Source organism: Homo sapiens, chromosome 5 (genome assembly GCF_000001405.40).
Source record: "Homo sapiens chromosome 5, GRCh38.p14 Primary Assembly".
NCBI lineage: Eukaryota > Metazoa > Chordata > Mammalia > Primates > Hominidae > Homo > Homo sapiens.
In genome coordinates, this window is record NC_000005.10 from 156,319,537 (window position 1) to 156,341,963 (window position 22,427).

The following is a 22,427-nucleotide window of genomic DNA, read 5'->3' on the forward strand; positions in this document are numbered from 1 at the left end:
AGAAGTAGGTAACCAGATAATGCATCTTGAAACACAAATTGTATTTTAGGAAGTGAAGCCCCAGCAGTAATTTCCCATAGTGAGTGAAGAGGTGATACAGTGAATCATCTCCTAGAATCACAATCTTTGCCCTACGAGGCAGCTAGGTATCAGAAAATGGGAATCTTTTGCCCAATTCCTCTATTACCTATCTGTGTGATTTTGACCATATCACGTCTTCTTTTCAGTTTTCAGTTGTCTCATACAAGTAATGAAAAGGTTGGACTTGATGACATATTATTTCCTTTTACATCAGAATACGCTACAGCTCACCAGTTGAGAGATTTAAAATTATATAAAGTTATTTTCTCTGCAATCCATTGCGGAAAGGATATCAGGAATTACTAGCAATGTTCATTATTAGTGAAATAATATTTATGAAGCAACTACTATGTGCCAGCCACTGTGCTAGTTGTGGATTTGCTCAATTATGTCTCTTTCACATATCTAATAAACCCCTTATAAAGATAAATCATTTGAAATGTATAATGATGAATTATTTGTCTTTGACAGCCTTTGATATGTGTGTGTGTGTGTGTGTGTGTGTGTGTGTGTGTGTACAATTGTTGGGTTTTAGGGTTGGATTTTGAGGCTTGGTCTTTAGTATTAACCAGCACTCCTCATTCAAGAAGTTTACCATTAGCTTGGAATTCCTGCACCCATCAGTTGTGTCTTGTACCACTGAGCACTGATATGATTGCAAAAATAAAGATGAGTGATGCTATGCATTTTTTAAGCACAGGTCTTATTTATTTCTGCCAGTAACTATGGAGTGCCTATCATGTAGTCTAGCTTCCTTTTATTGATCAATAAATTTTATTTCCAAATAAAAATGTGATATTTCAAGAGCTTACTTATAAGAAGCTATAATGCAATAAGAAATTATGGACCAGAAAGAACGTTAAAAGAATTGGTCAGTGTTTTTCACTGAAAAGAAACAGAATACATGGAGCCATCTATTCAGCTCTATCAGTATTTGCTTTGTGCTCTTTAATTAATTTCTTTTAAAAAGGTATGTTTGCAATACATTTCATTACTAATCACACTAAATTAATTTTCAAATGTATGAGTTCCTTCTGAAAGTAATGACTTAGTTTGAGAATCCCTCATTGTGTACCATGTATATATTTGAATTTCCGAAACAGAAGATGACTTCAGCTTAGACGCTGTGTCTGGCCAATAGAGATATTCTCAAAATGTTTGGGTCACTGTTTTGTCACTGAGCCAAACTTCCTGGTCCAGATTCATTCCACAGAAATGTCTCTTCAAAGTCAGTCAGATAATTTTGCCCTTGGCCATGGAAAAATAGCATTGGATTTACTCTGTTTTGAAGAGCCAGAGCAGAGTGAGTGTCACTTCCCATCAGGTATTATTTATGAAATGAACTCTCAAATGAAAGGCTGGCATCGTGCTACTGCCCTAATCATCTGCCATTAGTTTAAGTCTAACTCAACTGTTTTGGGCTTTCATAGAATAAATAAATACGGTTTCTATCCTTTGCCTAAATATTGCCTCATAATATTTCTAAAAAACAAATTAAAAACAAAAACAAAAACAAAAACGGCTGGGCGCAGTGGCTCACGCCTGTAATCCCAGCACTTTGGGAGACCAAGGTGGGTGGATCAGGAGGTCAGAAGATCGAGACCATCCTGGCTAACATGGTGAAACCCCATCTCTACTAAAAATACAAAAAAATTAGCCAGGCATGGTGGTGGGCGCCTGTAGTCCCAGCTACTCGGGAGGCTGAGGCCAGAGAATGGTGTGAACCCGAGAAGTGGAGCTTGCAGTGAGCCGAGATCGCACCACTGCACTCCAGCCTGGGTGACAGAGCGAGACTCCGACTGAAAATAAATAAACAAATAAATAAATAAATAAACAAATAAATAAAAAACCTTCTCTGGGCACGATGCTGAAGTGAGTCTTTGGTATTTTGTCATCCATAATCCACCTGATACTTTAATCTACCCACCACCTTTTCTCAATTTCCTAATAACCCTACACAGCCATTCTGGTAAGATGGAGGTGACCCTTTCTTTTTGCCTCCAGGGTTGTTATAGGAGCCAAATAGGATCAACATGAGGACACCATTCTCCTGGTCACATGGATGAGCATGTGGCTCAATCTGGAAAATATCTATTTTCCCAGGGAAAGTGAGCATGTGACTACCAATGGGTGTCTTACCACCCAAAGGAGAGAGCAAAACTGTGGGTGAAGCCTAGAGAAGAAGAGGGAGATAGAGTCTTGATTACATTTCAACTGTTACTCCCAGTCCTGCCTTCACATCCACTTCTTGGCTTTACAGTTTTATGATTGAGTACATCTCTCCCCCCATCCTCTTTTTTCCTTAGGCTAATTTGAATGAGTTCCATCTGCTGTAACCATAAGGGTCCCGATGAACGCCTCTTTTCAGGCTTTTGCTGTAACTGCTCTGTGGCCCTCTCTGTATGACCTTACTGTGTTACATCAGACTACCCCACCCTCCACCCCAAGTCAGTGGCACAACAGACCACACTCCCTATATTCACAGCCTAGCTTGTATTTCAGGCCTTACAGATTTTGCCTGACAACTGACTCGGTAATTTCTCACAAGTCTTTTGGATAAATGTACGAATGGCTTATTAGTTTTTGAGATTGTTTACATCTTATGAGACAAGTTGGTTTCCTAGTACAATACAATATTTTAACAGGTCAGAAAGAGTAAATGAGATCTAAAAAGTCAAGATATAGAAAGTTGGGTTATATGCATGTTCCTGTACTTGGATTTTTTTTTTAAACCTGCATTTACTTACTTAAAAATATCTATTGTGTACTTCCTACAAGCTAGGCATGGTGTAAGGAGTAAGACACAACCTGGGGAAAGCAGGCTGGGTCTCTGCCCTCATGGAGAACATTGTCTCTCAGGAAAGATTGACATGAATCAGATAAAAATACAAATATGTATATACAACTAAAATAAGTGCTAGTCTATAGGCTTATATAACAGGGGACTGTTGGGTCTCAGGGTTCAGGGAGAAATAAATTCTAGAGGAAGTGATAATGGAGGTTACATTTAAAGGCTGAATAAGAGATAACTGCATGAACACAGGCAATTTCTAGGAAACAGTAATATCTGTCCAGAAGGTGAGAACAGCTTTTCTTCAATCTCCTAAAGTGGAAAGATACATGATTTATTTGAAGGATTAGAAGAATGAGGGAGTGGCAGCAGATGAGGCTAAAGAAGTGTGTGACAGACCAGTTGAGGGTTGCTGCTGTTCCCTTTTAGGCAATGGTCAGCCATTTAAAGATTTGAGGTCAAAGAGTTGTGCAATCAGATTTATGTTTTAAAAGATCCTGTAACTTAGTAATCTTAAGTCTGGCTCACATTGGAATCATCTGAGGGGATTAAAAAATACTGTTGCCTGGTGGCCATCTGATTCTAATAGAATCAAAACCTCTGGGGTGGGACCCTGGCTCTAGTCAGCTTAAAAGCTACCCCAGGTGATTCTAATATAAATCTAGGCCTGAACATCATCGACATAAATGTTGTGGGAGATGAGGTTAATACTAGCACCTGTCATAGAGTGGTCCAAGCTGACATGACTCACTATGACTCCAGGTTACTACCTCCAAACCTAATATGTTCATGGATTGCATCAATAGAAGTATAGCTTCTGAATGAGAGAAGGAGTTGTTCCTCCTCTCTTTGCGTTAGATCCAGTGTACCTGCAAAGTTTGTTCACTTCTCAGCACCACACTCAAGGAGGAAATTAAGGAAACTGAAATATTCCCAGGAAAAAAGCCAATCAGGTGACAAAGGGAATCTGAAACACGATGGAGAGAAATGGTCGAGTAGCTCCAGATATGTTTAATCTACAGTAAAAATATCCTTTGAAAAGGATAATGTAGGAATCTCAGTTTTCAAGTAAGTCAAAAGATGTTATTTATTCAATGGGTAAAAATGAGGGTCTACTATATACCCATCCTAGACATTGGAAAAATGGCAGAAAATGAAGTAGACAAAAATCCTTGCCCGCATGGAGCTTATATTCAAGTGAAGATTGAAGTTTTCTGGTTCATATGATCTTCAGTATCATAATTTTTAACCGACTTCTGTGATTAGCAACCATAGAATATGTGATAGGGAGACATATTTTAGTTGTAATTTTAGAACATTAAAAGTGGAAGTCTGTGAGAAGCAAAGAGGTCACCATGTATGGAAGGATTCCAGCAGGCACAGCCATTGCAGAGGGGATTCAGGAATCTAATGGTAAGAATAAAAAGGTGTAATAGGAAGGAGACTGATGAGGAGTCCTTTGCAAAAGTGAGAACCGAGTACAGTCCTATCGTATTAAATACTAGCAGTGCCTACATAGTTTGAGCATTTACTGTGTGCCATGCATTTCGCTAAGTGATTATCACACATTATTTCACGTAATCCTCATAACACTCATATAGGTGGAAAGAATAAAACTGTCAAATTATACTTTTTAAAAAGTTAAAAACATGACATATAAATATGAAAAGCAGATATGTCAGATATTTTACTTGACTCCTTAATTAGTGGGGGAATTGGTGTGATGGTAAGACTGGTTCCAAGAACATTTGAGGAGCTCATTATTTATAGGTTTGTTAACAAAGGGATGCTAGCAGAGACTACATTAGGTACAAGACTGGTAATGTCCTGGAGGGCAACAAATCATCACATTTGAGGTTATTTTCTCTACTGGAAAGAAATTATTTGCATCTTTATCAGATAAAAGTCTCCAAGTTAACATGTACCTGTAATAAATCTGGAAATGTTTTTCAATAGCAAACTATCTTCAACAAATGACATTCCCCTTAAATACTTCTTGAGAGGGCCTGTGAAACAATTCCCGCATATGATATTGAAAAAAAAAAGACTACCTTTTGGCTATATTTTTCAAGTTTTGCATAACATTTCTTAACATTAGAAGAATTAAGTATGTTTTCAGGATTTTCTAGCTAGCAGTTATAAAGCTGGGTCTCAAACTGAGATCTCTCCAGATGCCCACATTGAAATGAGCCACATAACAAGTCTTTGGGGAGACATGAGGGCAGGGTCTCGTGAATCATATCAGCATTGTTTGATTAGGGCTGAGTATCAGCTTGAGTTTTTTTTAAATTGATTACCAGAACATTCAAGATTAACTTCTTCAACTATTTAAAACTTCTTTTTTTTTTTCCCTGAAAAGAAGCAGGGCATAAAACGTGAATAATAAACAATAAGCGGTTCATTAGCAATTTGCTACCACTGGCTCTCAAAGACTGTGGAACCCCACGTAGAAGTCTGATTCTTTAGAATTTGCAGCAGCTATTTTCTCTGAAAGATTTCTTCCTCAACTTGTGGGATTTTATTTTGCTATTATTGTTAATTTAGGACGTTGCCATTTCCAAACATGAACATTGTAATTGTTAATAGTCTTCTATTTATAGAATGATAATTTTGAGCTCTTAAGGTATAAAGCCCAGTTCTCTGGAATGACACTTTGTTCAGCCTCATGTAACTGACTGCAGATTTGATCTCACTGTTTTTCTTTTCTGTGAGTTAATCTCAAGGAAAGACTTCAGTGTTATATTTAGGGAATAAATGGAAAGTAGCGGTATAGCTGGCTTAATGTTCCAATAAGGCTTCAGGACAGTTCTCCAAGTTTAAGGTGACAGGCCCCTATTACATAAAGTTAAAGCAGCAGAAAACTAGCCACTCAAATACTTTATTCTAGAACTCACACTAGATGGGAGAGTACAATTTGGCTTTTAGGTTAGAGAAAAGGTTTGCATTTTGCTCCATTAAAAAAAAAAGTAAACTGAAATGTATTTATAGGCAGTCATAAACACTTTACACAGATTATCTCACTGAATCCTTAACAATTCTACCAGTAGATTCTATTATGGTTCCCATTTCACAGATGAGGAAACAGATCGAGAGAGGTTAAGCAAGCTGACCAGGGTTTATAGTCAGTAAGATGCAGAGCTAAGATTAGACCCAGGCTATCTGATTAGAAGGCTAGATGATATCACCTTCCCAAATTATGCTGCAGTAGAGAAAGCAGATAGAAAAAGAGAGCACCAATCCCATTTCTAGCTTCAGCTCTGGTATTAACTGTCTTTAAAACCCTGGACAAGTCATCTCATTTGTCTGGGCCTCTACTTCCCTCTGTAAAATGAAGGGTGGAAACAATTTGGATTGGATGATCTCTGGGGTGTCTCCAACTCCAAAGATCTGATTCTGTAATTGCATCTTGACCTTAGATGTGCACACACACCTCCCCACACCGCCTCCCACCCCACTGCTTCCCAAGGCGAAAATCTAATCCTGCTCAAAGTGCCCAGTGTAATTTGATGCTAAACTCACGACCCCACCGAATCCTATTACTTACAACATCCCCTCAAGAACATACAACACTTAAAATCTGGCAAGCCAGTTCTTTAGAATAAGTTGCCAATGGGGTGTGATTTTTGGAAGTAAAATGTTAATACCAAAAACAGAAAAAAGAAACAGTTCAAAACAAATGCTCCTCTCTCTTTAAATCACCTCTTTTCTACAATGTTACCTTGACAACTTTGCTCTGGCTCTTTAGATATGGGGGTTTTTCAGTGTGGGAGAAGAGGGGTGTCCTCCTGTTTTGAGGTTTCCTCTTGTTGCATGGAAAGGGAAAATGTCAAAGGTAGAGCATCAAATCCAGCAGAATGTACACAGGGCATCTTGAGGGAGTGTCATCCAGAAATAATCACAGGTGCACAGAATTAGGACGCATTCTGATTCAAAGTACATTCTTTTCTCTTTTCTATTTTCCATAACCATAACACACATTCCAACAGCCTATAAAATGTTACATTTTTGGACCAGCACTGTTGCAGAACAGAGAGCAACAAAAGTGCCTGAAAAATAATTGCATTATTTTTAGTTGCTGCAGCAAAAAATGTACATATCAGGTTGAGGGGACAGCTCCGAAGAACTGTACCAGTGTGGAAATGCTAAAAATATTGCTCCCCCTCAAGCAATTGAAATTTTGAGCAAAGATTTAGGAAGCGGCAGGTAGGGAGATCAAATTAGAATTTACATCTCTCAGCTGTAATAAGCTTGTTATCAGGACTGGCAAGAGCTCAGGGGGCTGACAGGGGTCAGCTGGGGACTCAAGTGTAAGGAGCAAGTGAAAAAGGAGCAGTGTTGAGCAGAAGAAAGAGAGGACTTATCTCCAGCATCTAGCACTACAGAGCAGAGGCTGTGTGGAGAATGGCTGAAAAATCAGAATTGGTTGTAGAAGCAGTTTTCTTTCTGGTTGTGAGTATGAGCCCGGCAGACACCATGAGCGCTGTTGCAGGGGAGTCGGCCTGTGCTTGACACATGTGTTTCCCATTGATAGCTGGAGACAGCCCAGTAGCTGTGAGTCGGTCTGACAAAGCCATATTGAAGTACGGAGTACGGTTTCAAAGCAGTCAGAAAAAGAACGGGAATGCTGTTCAGGAAATTCTTCAGGCATGGGCAGGGACTTGGCTGCAGTTCTGCAGTTGGAAAATCTGACTGGGGCAGCTTCTGAGCGCAGGCTGGGCCTGCACACACTCAGCGGGCCGAGTGGCCACCTCCTTCAGAGCTGCTCAGCACGCCCTGGGATCGCGGGCGGTTTTCATCGGCCGGTTTGTGAAACGGACAAGAGAGGTAGGGTACTGTTCAGTTCTTGCGTTTGCACGCGTCTGTTCACTTTCTAAGCTATCTGCCTGCTGTATTTGCAGGCACTCCGAGTTTTTAGTGTGTGCATGTGTGTGTGTGTGAATTAGCAAGTTAGAACTCCGTCATGTAAACAGTTGGCATGGGGCTCCAATCTGTGCTTTTCCCCCTTTAAGGTCTGATTTTCAGCAGGGCAGAGAGACTTCTTTTGAAAGTTAGGATTTAGCTGGCAACGTTATTGTGTAAAGAGGAGTATGTGAATTCCTTATGTTGTCACCCTGCTCCAACCATCTGTAACTTTTCCTTTCTGCGTGGAAGGGCCGTTCACTGGCAAGGAAGATAATTTCAGATGAAACTGTCTGTGTGTTTTGCTTCACTTCGCAAGAGTTTTAATGGGGAGTTTTTTGTTGTTGTTGTTTTTTAATAGTAGAAAATGGCTCTCATTTTAGGAGGGAATCAGAGTTTGAAGTTTCTACGTTGGATGACACTTTCAGAGTGTCGAAACAGATATGTGTGTATGGGTTTCTAAAATCTTTTATATAGGAGTTTGACTGTCATTATCTGGGATTTGACTGTCAGTGATATATTTGCCTAGAATTATGCTGGATCAACATTTGTAATTCTGTTTCTATAATCATTTCCAATTTTCTCACTTGAAGTAATTTGCAGTTTTACTCTCAAAAAACACTTCTGTATTTTAGGAAACATAGATAATAAAAAAGTAACAGAAAATGGCAGTTTACTCAAAATTCTTCTTAAAGGACAGAGACATGATGGTGTGAATTTTATTTCATTGATCTCTTGGTTTTATTTTACACCTTACTGCAAAAGAGCTTTTTATAAAAATCAAAGTTTTAAAAATTTTCAGCACAACAGGGATCTTAGTGTTCCTCTTCAGTTTTGGTTCTTCTTTATCAACTCTATTGCAGTATAGATTTTTTCCTCTCATAGGAAAGCTATACCTTGTTTTATGTACAGCATTTAGAAAACACACAGTACAATGTCATTGCATTTGAGAGACTGGTTCAGCCCAAAGCCGAGCTAAACCTTACAACTGCTTTACAATTACTAGCACAGCAATCTGTGACAACATTGGTTTTTTCCGAACGGGGCTTGGCCAAAAGTCTGGTTGGGGAGATGGATGAATGAATGGAATCTTGGATACTTCTTGAGTAGCTGAAGAGTGACTAGACCTCTTAGGGTGGATCTCTGTGACAACAGGTGTGCATTTACTTGTGTCCTACAATCTTTAAACAAGTAGCTAATAGAAGAGCCTGAAGTTAATGCTGAAAGAAAAGTGGAGAGCCAGCATTTCTCATTGCTTCCTCTGCATAAGACCTAGAATGAGAAGGCACACATTCTGTCCTGTTGGTAGAAGGTCAGGATTTTCAGCCAGCGATTTTCTTTTTTCTTCCAAGTGTTGTACTTGGAGGAGGGACCTGGGACAGGACTGGCAGCAGGATATCTTTAAGAGATGGTTCATGAACATTTTCTTTATTAGTTTCATCTTCGTGTTGGGGTGGTGTGGGGAGGGTTTGGGGACTGCAGGGCTTGAGGAAAGGAAGGGGGTGTAGTTAGAAGTCAGGATGGACTGTGACCTTATTTTTTTCTCTAAAGTGCCTAATGAGTGAGAAAAATGCCAAGACAGATTAGGAACTGGCATGAACCGTAGTCAAGCCCACTGCCAATGAAAAAGGGAGCCTTCCATGAGCTCGGGTGTCATACTCCTCTATATTTAGCGTGCGTCAAGCATTGAGCAGAAGAGGCGTGAAATAGCAACTCCAGGTTGCAGGATTATAAAGAGCAGTGCTTGAAACTTGGTAGAAACTCTATAGTTTCTCTCTTTTTTAGAAGTAAAGTAGGGAGAAGTCAAGCTCTCTTGACATCTGAAGAGAAAAAGTAAGCAGCGGAAGGGGGAAGGATACAGAGGAAGAAATCCAGGACAGAGGTGGAGGCAGTGAAGGGAGAGGAATGGCCACAACACAAACTGGGCAGTGAGGGTGGAGGGAGGAGCCCTTGGCACAGGAATGAAACACATGTATTAGAAATAGCCAAAGCCACCAGGCACTGATTTGTTGGACTGGAGGTGTGCAGATACTCAGTGGCCTTGGTGAAGAGAATTGTTTTAGCCACTTCACCACAGGAGACTGCATGGTCAGCCTGCCCTGCCTTCTGGAAGTAATCAGAAAGCACATTTTGTAAGAATGGCATTGCCTGAGGGTTCAGATTTCCTAGGCAAGGAGGGGGCAGGCTCTTCAGACCTTATTTTTAACCCATATTTGTTCCTTGCAGAGACATTACTGCCGGGAGTGTTGAGTGAAGGGACCAGGTGGAGATGGTGAGTAATTCCCGGGAGCGAAGCTTGTTCAAGGCCCTGCTCATGGTCATTTTATTATTAACATAAACTTTTGAAAAAGAGAACAAAGTGTTATATATGCCTTATCCTGATGAAGACATTTCTTTAATTTTACTTTTTTATTTTAAAAAATCTGCAGGCCAGGCACGGTGGCTCACGCCTGTAATCCCAGCACTTTGGGAGGCCGAGGCAGGTGGATCACGAGGTCAGGAGATGGAGACCATCCTGGCTAACACGGTGAAATCCCATCTATACTAAAAATACCAAAAATTAGCCGGACATGGTGGTGGGCGCCCGTAGTCCCAGCTACTCGGGAGGCTGATGCAGGAGAATGGCGTGAACCCGGAAGGTGGAGCTTGCAGTGAGCCAAGATGGCGCCACTGCACTCCAGCCTGGGCGACAGAGCAAGATTCAGTCTCAAAAAAAAAAAAAAAAAAAAAAAATCTCCAAGGGCACATACTACATCGTTGGTTGTACATGTGTTGAGCTTCCCAAATCCAAAAATCTGAACTCTGAAATGTTTCAAAATTTGAAACTTTTTGAGCACTGACATGATGCTCAAAGGAATTATTTATTGGAACGTTTCTGATTTCGGATTTTCAGATTTGGAATGCTGAATGGTAAGTATAATGCAAATATTCCAAAAATCCAAAAAAATCTGAAGTCAGAAACACTTCTGGTTTCAAGCATCTTGGATAGTTTCCTAAGCCACGTCTGACGAACGTGCTGGTACTGGGGGCAGAAGTGGGGTTGAGAGAGGGAGGAAAGGTAGAGGTGGTCAGAAATCTTAGGTCAGGTCCTGGCTCCATTCATCTTCAGATCTCAGGTTTCCTATCTGTAAGATGATCTGATACCTCTGAATTGTTTTCTGTTTTCACAACCTATGATTTTTGTAATCCTGAGGCTCTTCCTTTTCTTTAAGAATAACTCTTAGTCTGTCTCCCTTAAGGCTGGGTGTCTTGAGTCATTTCACCCATTTCTCCATCTTTTCCTGCACTCTTTCTTTACTCTTCTTTGAACATATTTCAGTGAGCCTTCTCCTGACAAAAACTATGGCTCCTTGAGCTCAACTTAGTCATCTGAACAATGCACATTCCATGGTGAGGACTTCATACATGTGTTAACCGAAAAGGAAGAGGGTGATTGTAGGGAGAGGAAGCACAGCAAGAAAGAAAAAAATGGAAGGTGGTATCATCTTGCTGTGGAAGAAAAGTGGTTATATTGTGAACTGAGCTCAGGGTCTGCCTCAAACGAAGACTGGGGTCCTGGCTGTGTGGCCATAGGCAAGTTACATCATCTCCAAAATGTGTCCCAATTTCCTAATCTCTAAAATGGACAAGACAAAAGTATCTGCCTAATAGTGTGTTGTGAGATTGTACAGATAATGCACTTAGCATTGTCTTTTGCACACAGTAAGCACTTAAATATGTCAAATATATTAATACATATAGTTAAGATGAACTGAGATAGCACCAGGCAAATCAACAAAGAGTGAAAAAGGTAGAGCAAGGTAAAACAAAGAGTTCAAACAATCAGCAAAGGAAAGGATGTTTTACTCTGAATTATCTGGGTTACTTTTCCTGTGTTGCCCAAATTTCTCTAGAAATTCCACATTTCCCTTTGTTTCACTTTTCTTGCCACACAGAAAGGTCTTCATTATTGTTTCAAATTCCTATTGCAGAGTGTGAACTGCCTCATACAAAGGAAACCATGTAAGCTGTAGCCTCTGACCTGCCTCTCAGACAGGTCTGTAGGACTGGGGAGGAACATGTCACCGTGGTTCACTTAGTATATAAATCCTGTGAGATTGGTTTGCTCAGAAAGCTTTGTTGGTGGTTGTATTAATGGAGCTCAGGATGTGTAGGAGGATATGGATGCAATCACTTTATTCTTCTTTTTCACTGATAAAGCAATGGCACCTATTAGAGCAAGCACAATTCCCTGATAAAAACTATATTGCCAGGGATTAGAAACTCCCTCCTTGCTCAGACCACTTTTCCTTGCCAGAGTGATAGGATCAGACTGTCTTGTGAGCACCTTGACTTCCAAATAATATATTGTGAATGCCTGGAAACCCTGCTGTTACTTGCTGGAGTTGACATATTCAGCCACTGAAACTATTCATTGAGTTCAGAGTAAATAAATACCAGGGTAAGCTCCTCTCTCCGAACGAATCATTCGACAAAATCTTGTACTAACCCTCATTGGGGTTGTGATATTGGCACTGTGTATTCAATGAAAGAAAATTGTTCCAGGATAAGGACAGCGGGGAACAGAGCCACGCTGTGTTCCTTTCATTCCTATCGTTACCTATGGTTGACTTCTCTCCTCTCTCTTATTCTATAATCTTTCTAGCCCTTTCGCTCTTTCTTTATTGGGTTCCATTCACCCTTGCAAGTTTCTTTTCTCTTTGTTATTTGTTCAGTGTGTGCTTACCAAAGTCCTTATCTGCTTCCCTCAGGGGTCAGGAATATTGGTAATAGGCCAGTGTCTGGACAGCATAATTTTTACCAGGTAGTGAGAAAGATTAACTCCTAGCATTGGCTGAGACCTTCAAAAGTTTGCGTCCCCACCCCTCTGATGTTACCAGGCTGCTGATACAAACAGCAGGTCATAAACCGGCAACCCAAAGGCTTGGACTATAGGTACATTTTGGTTCACAAAGTGTTTTTTTGTTTGTTTGTTTTAATTGACTTATGAAATATTTAAACATCTTAAGATATCATAATGTTGATCTTCTAGAAAAAGCTGAAGATGGGCATTCCCTATGTAATTTCTTGGGCACAGTGGCTGGTGGCCTGTGGTCAGCTCCTGTCCTTTTGAGAGGGCATATGCCTACCTCATTCATTGACCCCGCTATCTGACCTGTACATGTTTACATTTGTCTGCTCTATTTTTCTAGAGTTTCTCAACTGAACCAAAGAAAGCAGACGGTTATTTGAGTGACCATGTTCTCTGTTCTCTCAAGGGTGGTGCATATTCTAGACACATAGGAGAGAAGTTAGGGCATAATTAAGTTGTGGCTTCATTCTCTCAGAGAACACTGTTGAGATGGTCTAAGTCTCTGTTGAGCAGAGTCGCAGGAGGACAGTATGGTGGCCAAGAATCCAGACCTCAAAATTAGAACCACCTCATCGGATTATAGCTAAGACTGAAAACATTAAATGTGATAGATATCAGAATACTCACAATCTCTGGGGAAGGGAATTGATTAAGAGGAGTAATAAGAGAATTTTCTCGGGTGATAGAAATGTTCCCTCTCCTGTTTGAATATTGTTCCCAAAGATGTTCAGATTTGTAAAACTCATTGGGCTATGTAGCTAATATCTGTTTGTTTTACTAGAAGTAAATTATTCCTCAATAGATGTACATACATATATACATATCTACATGAAAGCATGCAAAGTGCTTAGAAAAATGCATGCTGTTTAGCTATTTTTATCATACTTGTTTCTAGAAACTTTGATTTAAAAAATATGTAAAATGACCAAAAACGAGATGAGCATTTCCTTTCCTACCACAGGTTTCATTGCAAGCATTTGAGAGCGCAGGTAATAGCTAAAGATTCTTGCCAAACACAATTGTCAAGGGAGAATCTACTGGATCAATTCTAATTTTATGAAACTATTGAATCACTATAGAAGGATGTGCCTAATTTGTTGTAGCTGCTTTTCATGATGCTGTAAAAATTTATAGGTTTTAGAGACATATCAAAGATGGTTTATTACCTGGGACAAAATGCCTATACTTAGAGTAACTTTCACTCTGGCTGGAATACAGTAGTCACTCAATAGGTATTCAATAATATGTCTTAAAATTAATATCCATATTAAGAACTTCTAGCTAATACAATCACAAAAATATTGTTTTTATTAGTAATCACATTGTTATAATCAATTATTCACATATATCTAGAAGCATTTAATATAAGAAATGAGAGAACAGGTTTTCCAGCCAAACACTCTGGATTCAAATGCTTGCTATGCCTTTAACAAGCAAAGAGATTTGGGGTAGATTACTTAACCACTCTTTCTCATTGGCTCAACTGTAAAATAGAAATGATTGTGAGGCAGGTACTAATTATATGTCTGTGAGGATTAAATACATGTAGAACAATGGCTAGTACATAGTACCATTATACAAGTGTTTGTCATTTATGTGTGCTTTCTTTATGTTAGAAAAGTGATTTTTTTTTTTTTTTTTTTTTTTTTTTTTTTTTTTTTGCTATTTGTCTCTAAGTATTGCTCAAAATCTGTGTGTAGATGGTTGGTGAAAGTAATGTGAAACCAGGAGTTCAAGCGGAAAAGACAGAAACCTAGAATTTATGGGAAACATACTGGTTTTCAGTTTAGCTGACTTTGGTTTTTTTTTACTGCCTTACTCTGTGACGTTGATTAAGTCACTTCACCTCCCTGAACCTTGTTTTATTGTCTGTTAAATAAGGATTTGGATTTTATATTGTCCATGTTCCCTTTAGGCCTTGTGTGTCACTCTGATCTCAAGTGTTTGAGTCATGTTCATTATTATTTTATTACACAGCTTGGTCCCCAAGTCACAGAAGAGCTGTAGTAGCTTGACTCCTATTGTCATTATCTGGTTCTGGTGGGAATCATCCATGGGGTTTTAGAAAGCACCGATCTTGTACAACACAAAGTAGCTGGTTTGCTAAGAGTATCTGCCACTACTATTAGGAAAGCTAACCATAGAAGTGGCCATGATGGGGTAGATACAGCATCCTTTGCATGTGAAAATGACACCATTAAATCTGCGATCAGATGTTTGAAATTATTTTTGCTGCCCAAGGGCATTCAGTTCACATATTCTTTTCTGGTCCTCACCTTGCAACATCAAGGACCAGGCTAGTTTTATATAGAGCCAAATCTTCAACAATTCTTGCAATGCCGTCAAGTCTTTGTTCAACTATAGCCTTTTCCATGAGGTCAACCTTTCCCATGCTTTTAAATATTGAGCCTGCTGTATTCCCCAGCCCCTGGTACTGCTGGTCTATTTTCTTTTTTTTTTTTTTTTTTTTGGCTTTTTTTTAGGAGGTGGGACTTTTCCTCATAGCATTCATCTCCTTGTGACATAAATATAATATTCGCTGGTGTTTATGTTTATTATCTGTCTCCCCATCACTACCTCTTTCCACCGCTGTGAGATCAGAGCTCTTTGTTGTTGCTCATTGATATATCCCAGATGCCTTGAACAGCGTCAGGGGAGGAACTGAAGGATGGCACATATTTGCAGGTGGTGGCAGTGTTTCAAATGCATTTCACACTGAATATACGTCTATGATAATTCTAAATACCTTACTTTGTATTCAGGAAAAGTTAAGTCTTTGCCTCAGCCTGTGAGTAATGGAGAGAAAACCCGGCCTGAGTTTAAGTTCAGACCCTAACCAAGTTACTAGTTAGGGGTCTTTGAGAATACTCCTGAATTCCTTAGGACCTCAGTTTCTTCATTTATGAAATGGTTTTAATTATATCGATCTCCCATAGTGTTGCAGGAATGTATGCACTTGTGTATCTGCTAATTCCTGGTAGAAATATGCATGTGTGTTTCACAAATGTATCTGCCTGAAAGCACCTCAACTAGTACCTCATACATCTGCATCTCTAGGATGGAAAGAATTGATGTTCATCAATGCTGAAATATCTTCTGGTTCATCAGAGATAAATATTTTAAACTTAAATACAAGGTATATTACAATTTGTGGGGCACCTTGATAATATTTATTTAAAAACTGTACAGATACACTTTGACCTGGCAATCTGGTTTCTCAGGACTTGCCTGAGAGGTATATTTGGACCTATGTGAAACATGTCTGCTCTATGTCTATGGCTTTCAATAATACTCATATCCTGGAGTCTTAAAGATTCATGTCCCGAAGCCCAGTCTTCCTTCCCCTTGAAGTCCAGATTCGTTTCCAAGTGCCATCATAGTGTTCTTGTTTATCTGTCTCCTTATCTCACTACCTCTTACCATCTCTTTGGAATCTCATGTGCCTTCAACATTAACACGCCTGTCTCTTCCCCTATCATTCCCCTGCACACTCCATCCCCCTCCTGCCCTCCAAGCCTTCTATCCTCACGCTGTTCCCTGTGGGGTACCCTTGTGCAACTGGCTGCTTATGCTGAAACCTTGGGGTTCTCCTTGACTCCTGTCCTTTTTGACGCCCCATGTCTCAAGCCACAGAGAATCCTGTTAGCTCTGCTTTCCCACAAGATTCCAGATACAGCAACTCCCCAGCTTCTCACCCACCTGTCTATAGGCCTGGGCCACTGCCACCTCTCTGAAGACGATTGCAGTAGTCGCGGGCACCTGTTCTCCACACTTCCATTCTCGCTCCTACAACCCATTTCCTAGAGAACACTAGAGTGATCCTGAAGTGAAAATCTGATCATCCCATTTCCATGCCTAGGTTCTGCAGTGGTTACTGTTGCTTTCTGTATCATACCTGAGGTTTTTACTGTGGCTCTGAGCTCCTGCTTCTTTCCCCTTCTGCCTGTGCCCAAGCTAATTTTCAAACATTCTCCTCCGGTGCACTCTGATCTAGCCACACTGTCCTCCTCACCTGCCAAGCGAGCTCCTGCCTCAGGGCCTTTGCACTTGCTTGTCCAGTTTCCTCTGACTGAAATATTTCCCCAGATATCCTCATGCTTTACTCTCTTGCTTCTTTGTGTTTCGTTCTCAGATCTCTCTGGGATGGTCAGGCTTAACCATCTCTTAAACAGGAACTCCTTAACACCTCAGCACTGTTCCCTTCTGCTGCTTCTGTGTTTTCTTCATAAGACTGATTTCCAAGAACAAGTAGAAAAAGTTACATTTTCATTATGATAGGTAACAAAAATGACTGGAAACAACCTCCTCGCTATTTGTCTCTGAGCTGGTTAAGTTAAATATCATAGATCCATACCATTTAAAACAGTCTAGCTATTTTTTTTTAATTTTATGTTTTTATGGGACTATCAGTTATGTTAAGTGGACCAAGTTAGATTTAGAGCATTATGTAAAATATGCTCTTGTTTGTGTAAAAAAAATATAAGTGTGCATATGCACTGAACATCTATATTGAATAAAGCCTGAATATGTATTAAACATTTCTGTAAGGATAAAAAATAAGCTGATAACACTGGTTGCCTCAGTGTGGGGAGGCTGAAGGTATGAATGAGAGAATTGTTTAACTGCATGTTCTTTGATTCTTTTAAATATATGCACTTGTTGAATTTGTTTTCGGTAAAAGTTTTTCAACACTTTGGTATTACATATTTTAGCTAAGAATTGGAATATATAACTATTAAGTTAATCTGAATATTTGTTTAAAAAGAAACTGCCATTCCTGGGCTAGTTCACATAAATAGGTGCTTACTTTTCTGGATGAATTTTGTAAGAAGCAAATGTTGTTACATCAAAACTAAAAGTGATGAATTTTTTACCATTGTCTAAATTGTGCCAAATATTTGTGATCCCAGACTAATGCCTGGTATGGATGGCTGACTAAAAAACAAACCTTGAAAGCAAACAGTTTTACCTAAAAACTAATATGGCTAATGGATTTCTATTTCTGTACCAGGATGATTCAAAATGGCTTAGATTCCACAACAAACTCTAGAAACTGTAATGAGCCTTTGAGGGAACCTATGCCTCCTATTTATATAAACTGGTTACAATCTCATAGTTACATAATTCATGTTTACTTTTAAATTCACCCAATTTTAACCTGTAGCATCACCAAGAAAAATAAAAACTTACTTGATTTGTATCACTTGTCTTATTCTTAAATTAGCTAATGTAGCCATCAGTCTTGCTGTATTTTTCTCTACTCGTTAGAACCTAGGAGGTGCCCCACCTCTTTCTACAAACTCACCTCTCACCCTCTCCTCTGAGCTCATTCAATCCAACTCTTGAGCTTCAGTTCTTCAGGCCGTAGTGCTTGCTCTGCCTTCTGCTGAAAAGCTTGCCCCCACTCCCAAGTATCATCTTAATTGTCTCCTTATCAGAATGACCTTCCATGACCAGAGTGGTTCACCTTCTATTCTCTATTACAGGTACCTCTTCGTTCTTCCTAGCACCTAACTTTAGTTCTAGGGGTTTCATTATTGTCCATTATTGTTTATTGTCCATCTCTCATTAAAATATGAGCTTGATGAAAGCAGAATATGATCATTTTCATCCTTTTGAAGGCCTTTATCTCTAGGACCTACTGACATATATAGTAGATGTCAAAATATATAAATATTTTACTGTTGAAAAATAGATTGGGATTGGAATTTTTTTTGTAAGTCAACTCTGTACTTTGCCATGTCTCTCCCTGACAGTGCATAACTGAACAGAGAACTGCACTCACAGCACCTACCCCCATAAATTCCTTTATGGAACAAGAGATTATGAAGAAGCCTAGTGGGGAGCAGAGTCAAACGTTAGTAAAATGCCTGTCAATGCCCCTTCTTTTTCTCAGCTCTGCCTTATGGTAGAGTTGATCATGGCCCATACAATTTTACAGGCCCAAAAGAAAGATCATTAGGAAACTTGATGGCATTGATGTGTTTTTAGGAAGTTCACTGGGTTTTTTGTTTGTTTGTTTACAAATCATCCCTGAAAACATAATGCATTTTTGCACAGCAAATTGGTAATGTAGATACTGTAACTATTTCCAGGGGGCAAAAAAGGAAAACATTTGTTCTTCTCCTGAAGAACAGCCCTGTGGGAACAAAGATGCAAACAAAAAGTGACCACTTCAACGGTATTAGACTAGAATATGTGCTTAGCCTCACAAAGCGGACCAGCTGTGGATGCTCCTGACCCATGACCCTTTTTCATCCCTATGTCTTCTCAATGACCTGTAAGAAGAGGAGCAATAAGAGATTTTCACAGTAGCCATTTGATTCCTACCAAGTGTAGGAAGGAAAGTCAGCATGGTATAAAATTAATGACCATCTGAGTCTAATCAGAGCAGTTTCTCTGTTAAGATATTAAAGATCTGTCGAAAATGGCAGACTTATCACTTTGAAGCTCACGTAGCTTCCTTAATTAGATGGACAATGGCTAGGTCCAGGTATCATGTAGGTTGGGCCTGGTTCAAAGATCTCGGTGACAACTTCACAGTGGGTAGGATTTGCATAAAGTTAGCAGGCTTCTCAGACTGGTGTTGAGCCCTGATGAGGCTACTGGAGGTGGCTGCATGGTCATCACAGAGTCACTGAGGTGTTGGTGGTGGTTGAAGTGGTAGAAGTTACACAGGGCCACACAGCCTCAAAGGAGGTTCTTCACAAGTCCAAGTCCAAGTCGATCCTTGACTTCACAAGCCCAAGTCCAAGTCAACTCTTGAGATTGCTAGATTAAATTAATATCAAGTCTTGACTCTAATGCTATGCAATCCCAGTTAGGAACATTTGCAGTCCCAGGTAGGAACATTTGAATGCCTGAGACCATGAGGTTACAGCTCTCCAAAACATGCTTTAGTAATATGACCATTCAGAATGACCTTCTTGGGAAACTCTACATCTAAAATATTTGACCACTATTTAATTAATTAATGATTACAGGTGGTTATATTATATGATAGCATTGTCTTGTCTTTTGGTAGTTTCTTCCCATCTAATGGCAAAACAACAGAAAGTTTTACTGTATTCACTCTTTGGGAAATATAATCCTCTTACATTTTGTGTGCAAGAAACAGATGATCCTTAAGTCAAGTGGATTTGTTTATGAACAGGTCAACATTGAAAATAGTTTTATGACGAAGTAATGCTTTGGATTTAAGCCTGCTTAGCATTGGTATAATTGTATGTGCCTTTGGAAAAACAAAGTTGTATAAGTTTTTACTTCTTCTGATATAGCTAGTTACTTATTACTAGAGAATATACTTTACTGTTTAACGTTGGCTTGATTTTTATTCATTTATTCATTCATTGAACAAATGTACACTCATTCATTCATTGAACAAATGTTTTGCTAAAAAATGCATTTGCTTTATTTCCATTAAAACAAACATGACAATAAAGTGAATCACATAAATGTTTGGGTTTCACAGTGCAGATAAAGTTTATGTTTATACTGTAGTATTCTATTGTGCAATAGCATTATATCTAAAAGTACATACCATAACTTAAAAATACCTTACTGCTAAAAACAATTGGGATAAGAAAAAACTAAAAATATTAGGAATACAAACAAGTTAACAACATGAATATATACTTAGAATGAGAAAGGAAATTAAATTATTAATTTTTAAAAGATGACATCACAAAATCAGGAAGGATAATATTGCTAATAATTAACTGCCTCACATACATTTTCTGTACTTTCTGGTTGTATAGCCTTTAATTGTCTCTTCATATGACAGCTATATGCCATTATCACTTTCTGTATGGACAATGGAAAGATAATTATTTTTATGGCAATTTTGACAAAACTTTTTAAATATTGATGGTTGTAATGTAGAATGCACACAACTTTACACAAAGTTACACATGGTATACATAACCTACAAACCCAAGTATTCTGGTTAATTATATTTTCCACAATTCTCATACAAAATAAAACACATATGGAACATTTATGATTATATATGCCAAATTCAATGTACAATGTATTATTGACAGTAGAGCATTTGTTTTGATGAGGCATCAATGACAGTTGAATTCTACATTTGACATTTTACATATCTCATGATTATCAAATAAACTTTTGACTAGCTTCTGTCTTTTCTACTACCCATGTATTTCTGGTGCTGACCATTGTAGGTCGTGTTTATATCGCATCGTGTCCTTTGGTCCTCTTCCTTCATGTCACCATGCTTGGTGAATTGGAGCTATGGGTGGAAGGAGTATTCCTAGAAGACATTCCTATACCAGGAGAGCTAGCAGTAATGTACCTCTACTGGGAAGTGCTGCAAACCATATAAATATATTCTGCATTCAAACTATAGGAACCACTAAGCCAACTTCTTCTTAGATCTCCAAAATGCATGTAAATCCTCCAGAGCTAACACGAGGGGAAGTCAGAATAGAAAAAGATAGGGTTTAGCGAGTTGCAGTTAAAACATCTTTTAAAAATGTTATAAAATTGTATGACTATTGTCATGATTTACTGGGGCCTCTCCTGGGGTCTTCAAAGGCCTGGGGTCTGCCCAAGTGAGGAATTAACGTTTTAACTTCAATTCCCCGGGCAGTACATTTGTTCCGGGAAGGAATAAGAAGAATGATAGATTGGAGATTGTCATTCATCTTTGTTTTTATCTTTCAACATGTTTTAATTTTTGATTAGAAAAATGAACGTACTCAGCATATCTAAATTTCCCTTTCCATGCAGGATTCTTTATAACAGATGTATCCATTACCATATGTTTGCATGGAAAGGCCTCCTTTTATAATTATTTGTCAAAAAGTGCTCATCCCCTTCACTGTTTCTTTCTTATGTATTTTAATGAGTTGGAGACTGGAGTATTCTGTTTCATGGGACTCATTAAAGAGGGTGTGGTGGAGATGACATGCAATAAGCCACTATACGATGCAGCAAAAGATCCAAGTTATAATTCCTGCTCAGCTTCTAATTTGCTGTGTGACTTGAAAAGGAGCTGCTTCCTCCTGGTCTTGACTTCCACAGCTGGTCAATTTTGTCTTGGACAAAATTAGTAGTTCCCAGGAGCAAAGGATTCTGCAGAGATGCCTCAAAGGTAGCCAGACCCTGCTTTAAGCAGAGGAACTCCACTTTTTTTATTTTTTATTTTATTTTATTTTATTTTTTTGCTATTTTACACACTAGAGTTTCTTGCAAGACTTTGTCTTACAATGATTACCCTATGAAAAAAAGTGAAAGCCATTTTTTAGATGTTGTCCCAAATGCTTAGAATCATCTGGGAGATTTTTCACAATGTTCCACCCTGAGCTCCAGATTCTGAAAATGGAGCTCAAAATTTGTACTATATTTGTTCAGTTTCTTTTGTGTTTCGGTGCATAATTAGGGTTGAGTGGCATTATTCTAGACCAATGGCATGTAATCCTGTCTACTCTTAGAATTATCTGGGAAGCTTTAATAAATACTGATGCCTGGGTGCTACCTCTGTGATTGTTACTTAACCTGAGTACAGATGTGTGTTTTTAAAATTTTATTTACTTATTTATTTTTTGAGACGAAGTCTTCACTCTGTTGCCCAGGCTGGAGTGCAATGGTGCAATCTTGGCTCACTGCAACCTCCGCCTCCCGGGTTCAAGCAATTCTCCCTGCCTCAGCCTCCCAAGTAACTGGGATTACAGGCACCTGCCACCATGCCCAGCTAATTTTTGTATTTTTAGTAGAAATGGAGTTTTACCATGTTGGCCAGGCTGGTCTGAAACTCCTGACCTCAAGAGATCCCCCTTCCTT

General features: G+C 39.0%; 1 protein-coding gene and 1 long non-coding RNA gene across 10 annotated transcripts in view; one reads left to right on the top strand and one right to left on the bottom strand.

Annotated features, from left to right (window-relative positions):
* Positions 1-22,427, top strand: part of SGCD (sarcoglycan delta) — a 1,039,957-nt gene that overhangs the window by 591,705 nt on the left and 425,825 nt on the right. For 3 of the 9 annotated variants that reach the window (NM_000337.6, NM_172244.3, XM_005265967.3), the window contains exons 1-2: positions 7,628-7,696; positions 9,998-10,043. The exons of 1 other annotated variant lie outside the window; for it this stretch is intronic. In NM_000337.6, coding sequence (NP_000328.2) covers positions 10,041-10,043 — 3 coding nt within the window. In that variant the 5' untranslated portion in view covers positions 7,628-7,696; positions 9,998-10,040. Of the gene's footprint in view, positions 1-7,627; positions 7,697-9,302; positions 9,605-9,997; positions 10,044-22,427 lie in introns of those variants that run through there. 5 more of the 9 variants (XM_047417519.1, XM_047417518.1, XM_017009724.2 and 2 more) reach the window with 3 other exon arrangements.
* The window catches only part of LOC124901120 (uncharacterized), an 85,782-nt gene that overhangs the window by 29,049 nt on the left and 34,306 nt on the right, over positions 1-22,427 (bottom strand). The window lies entirely within an intron of this gene.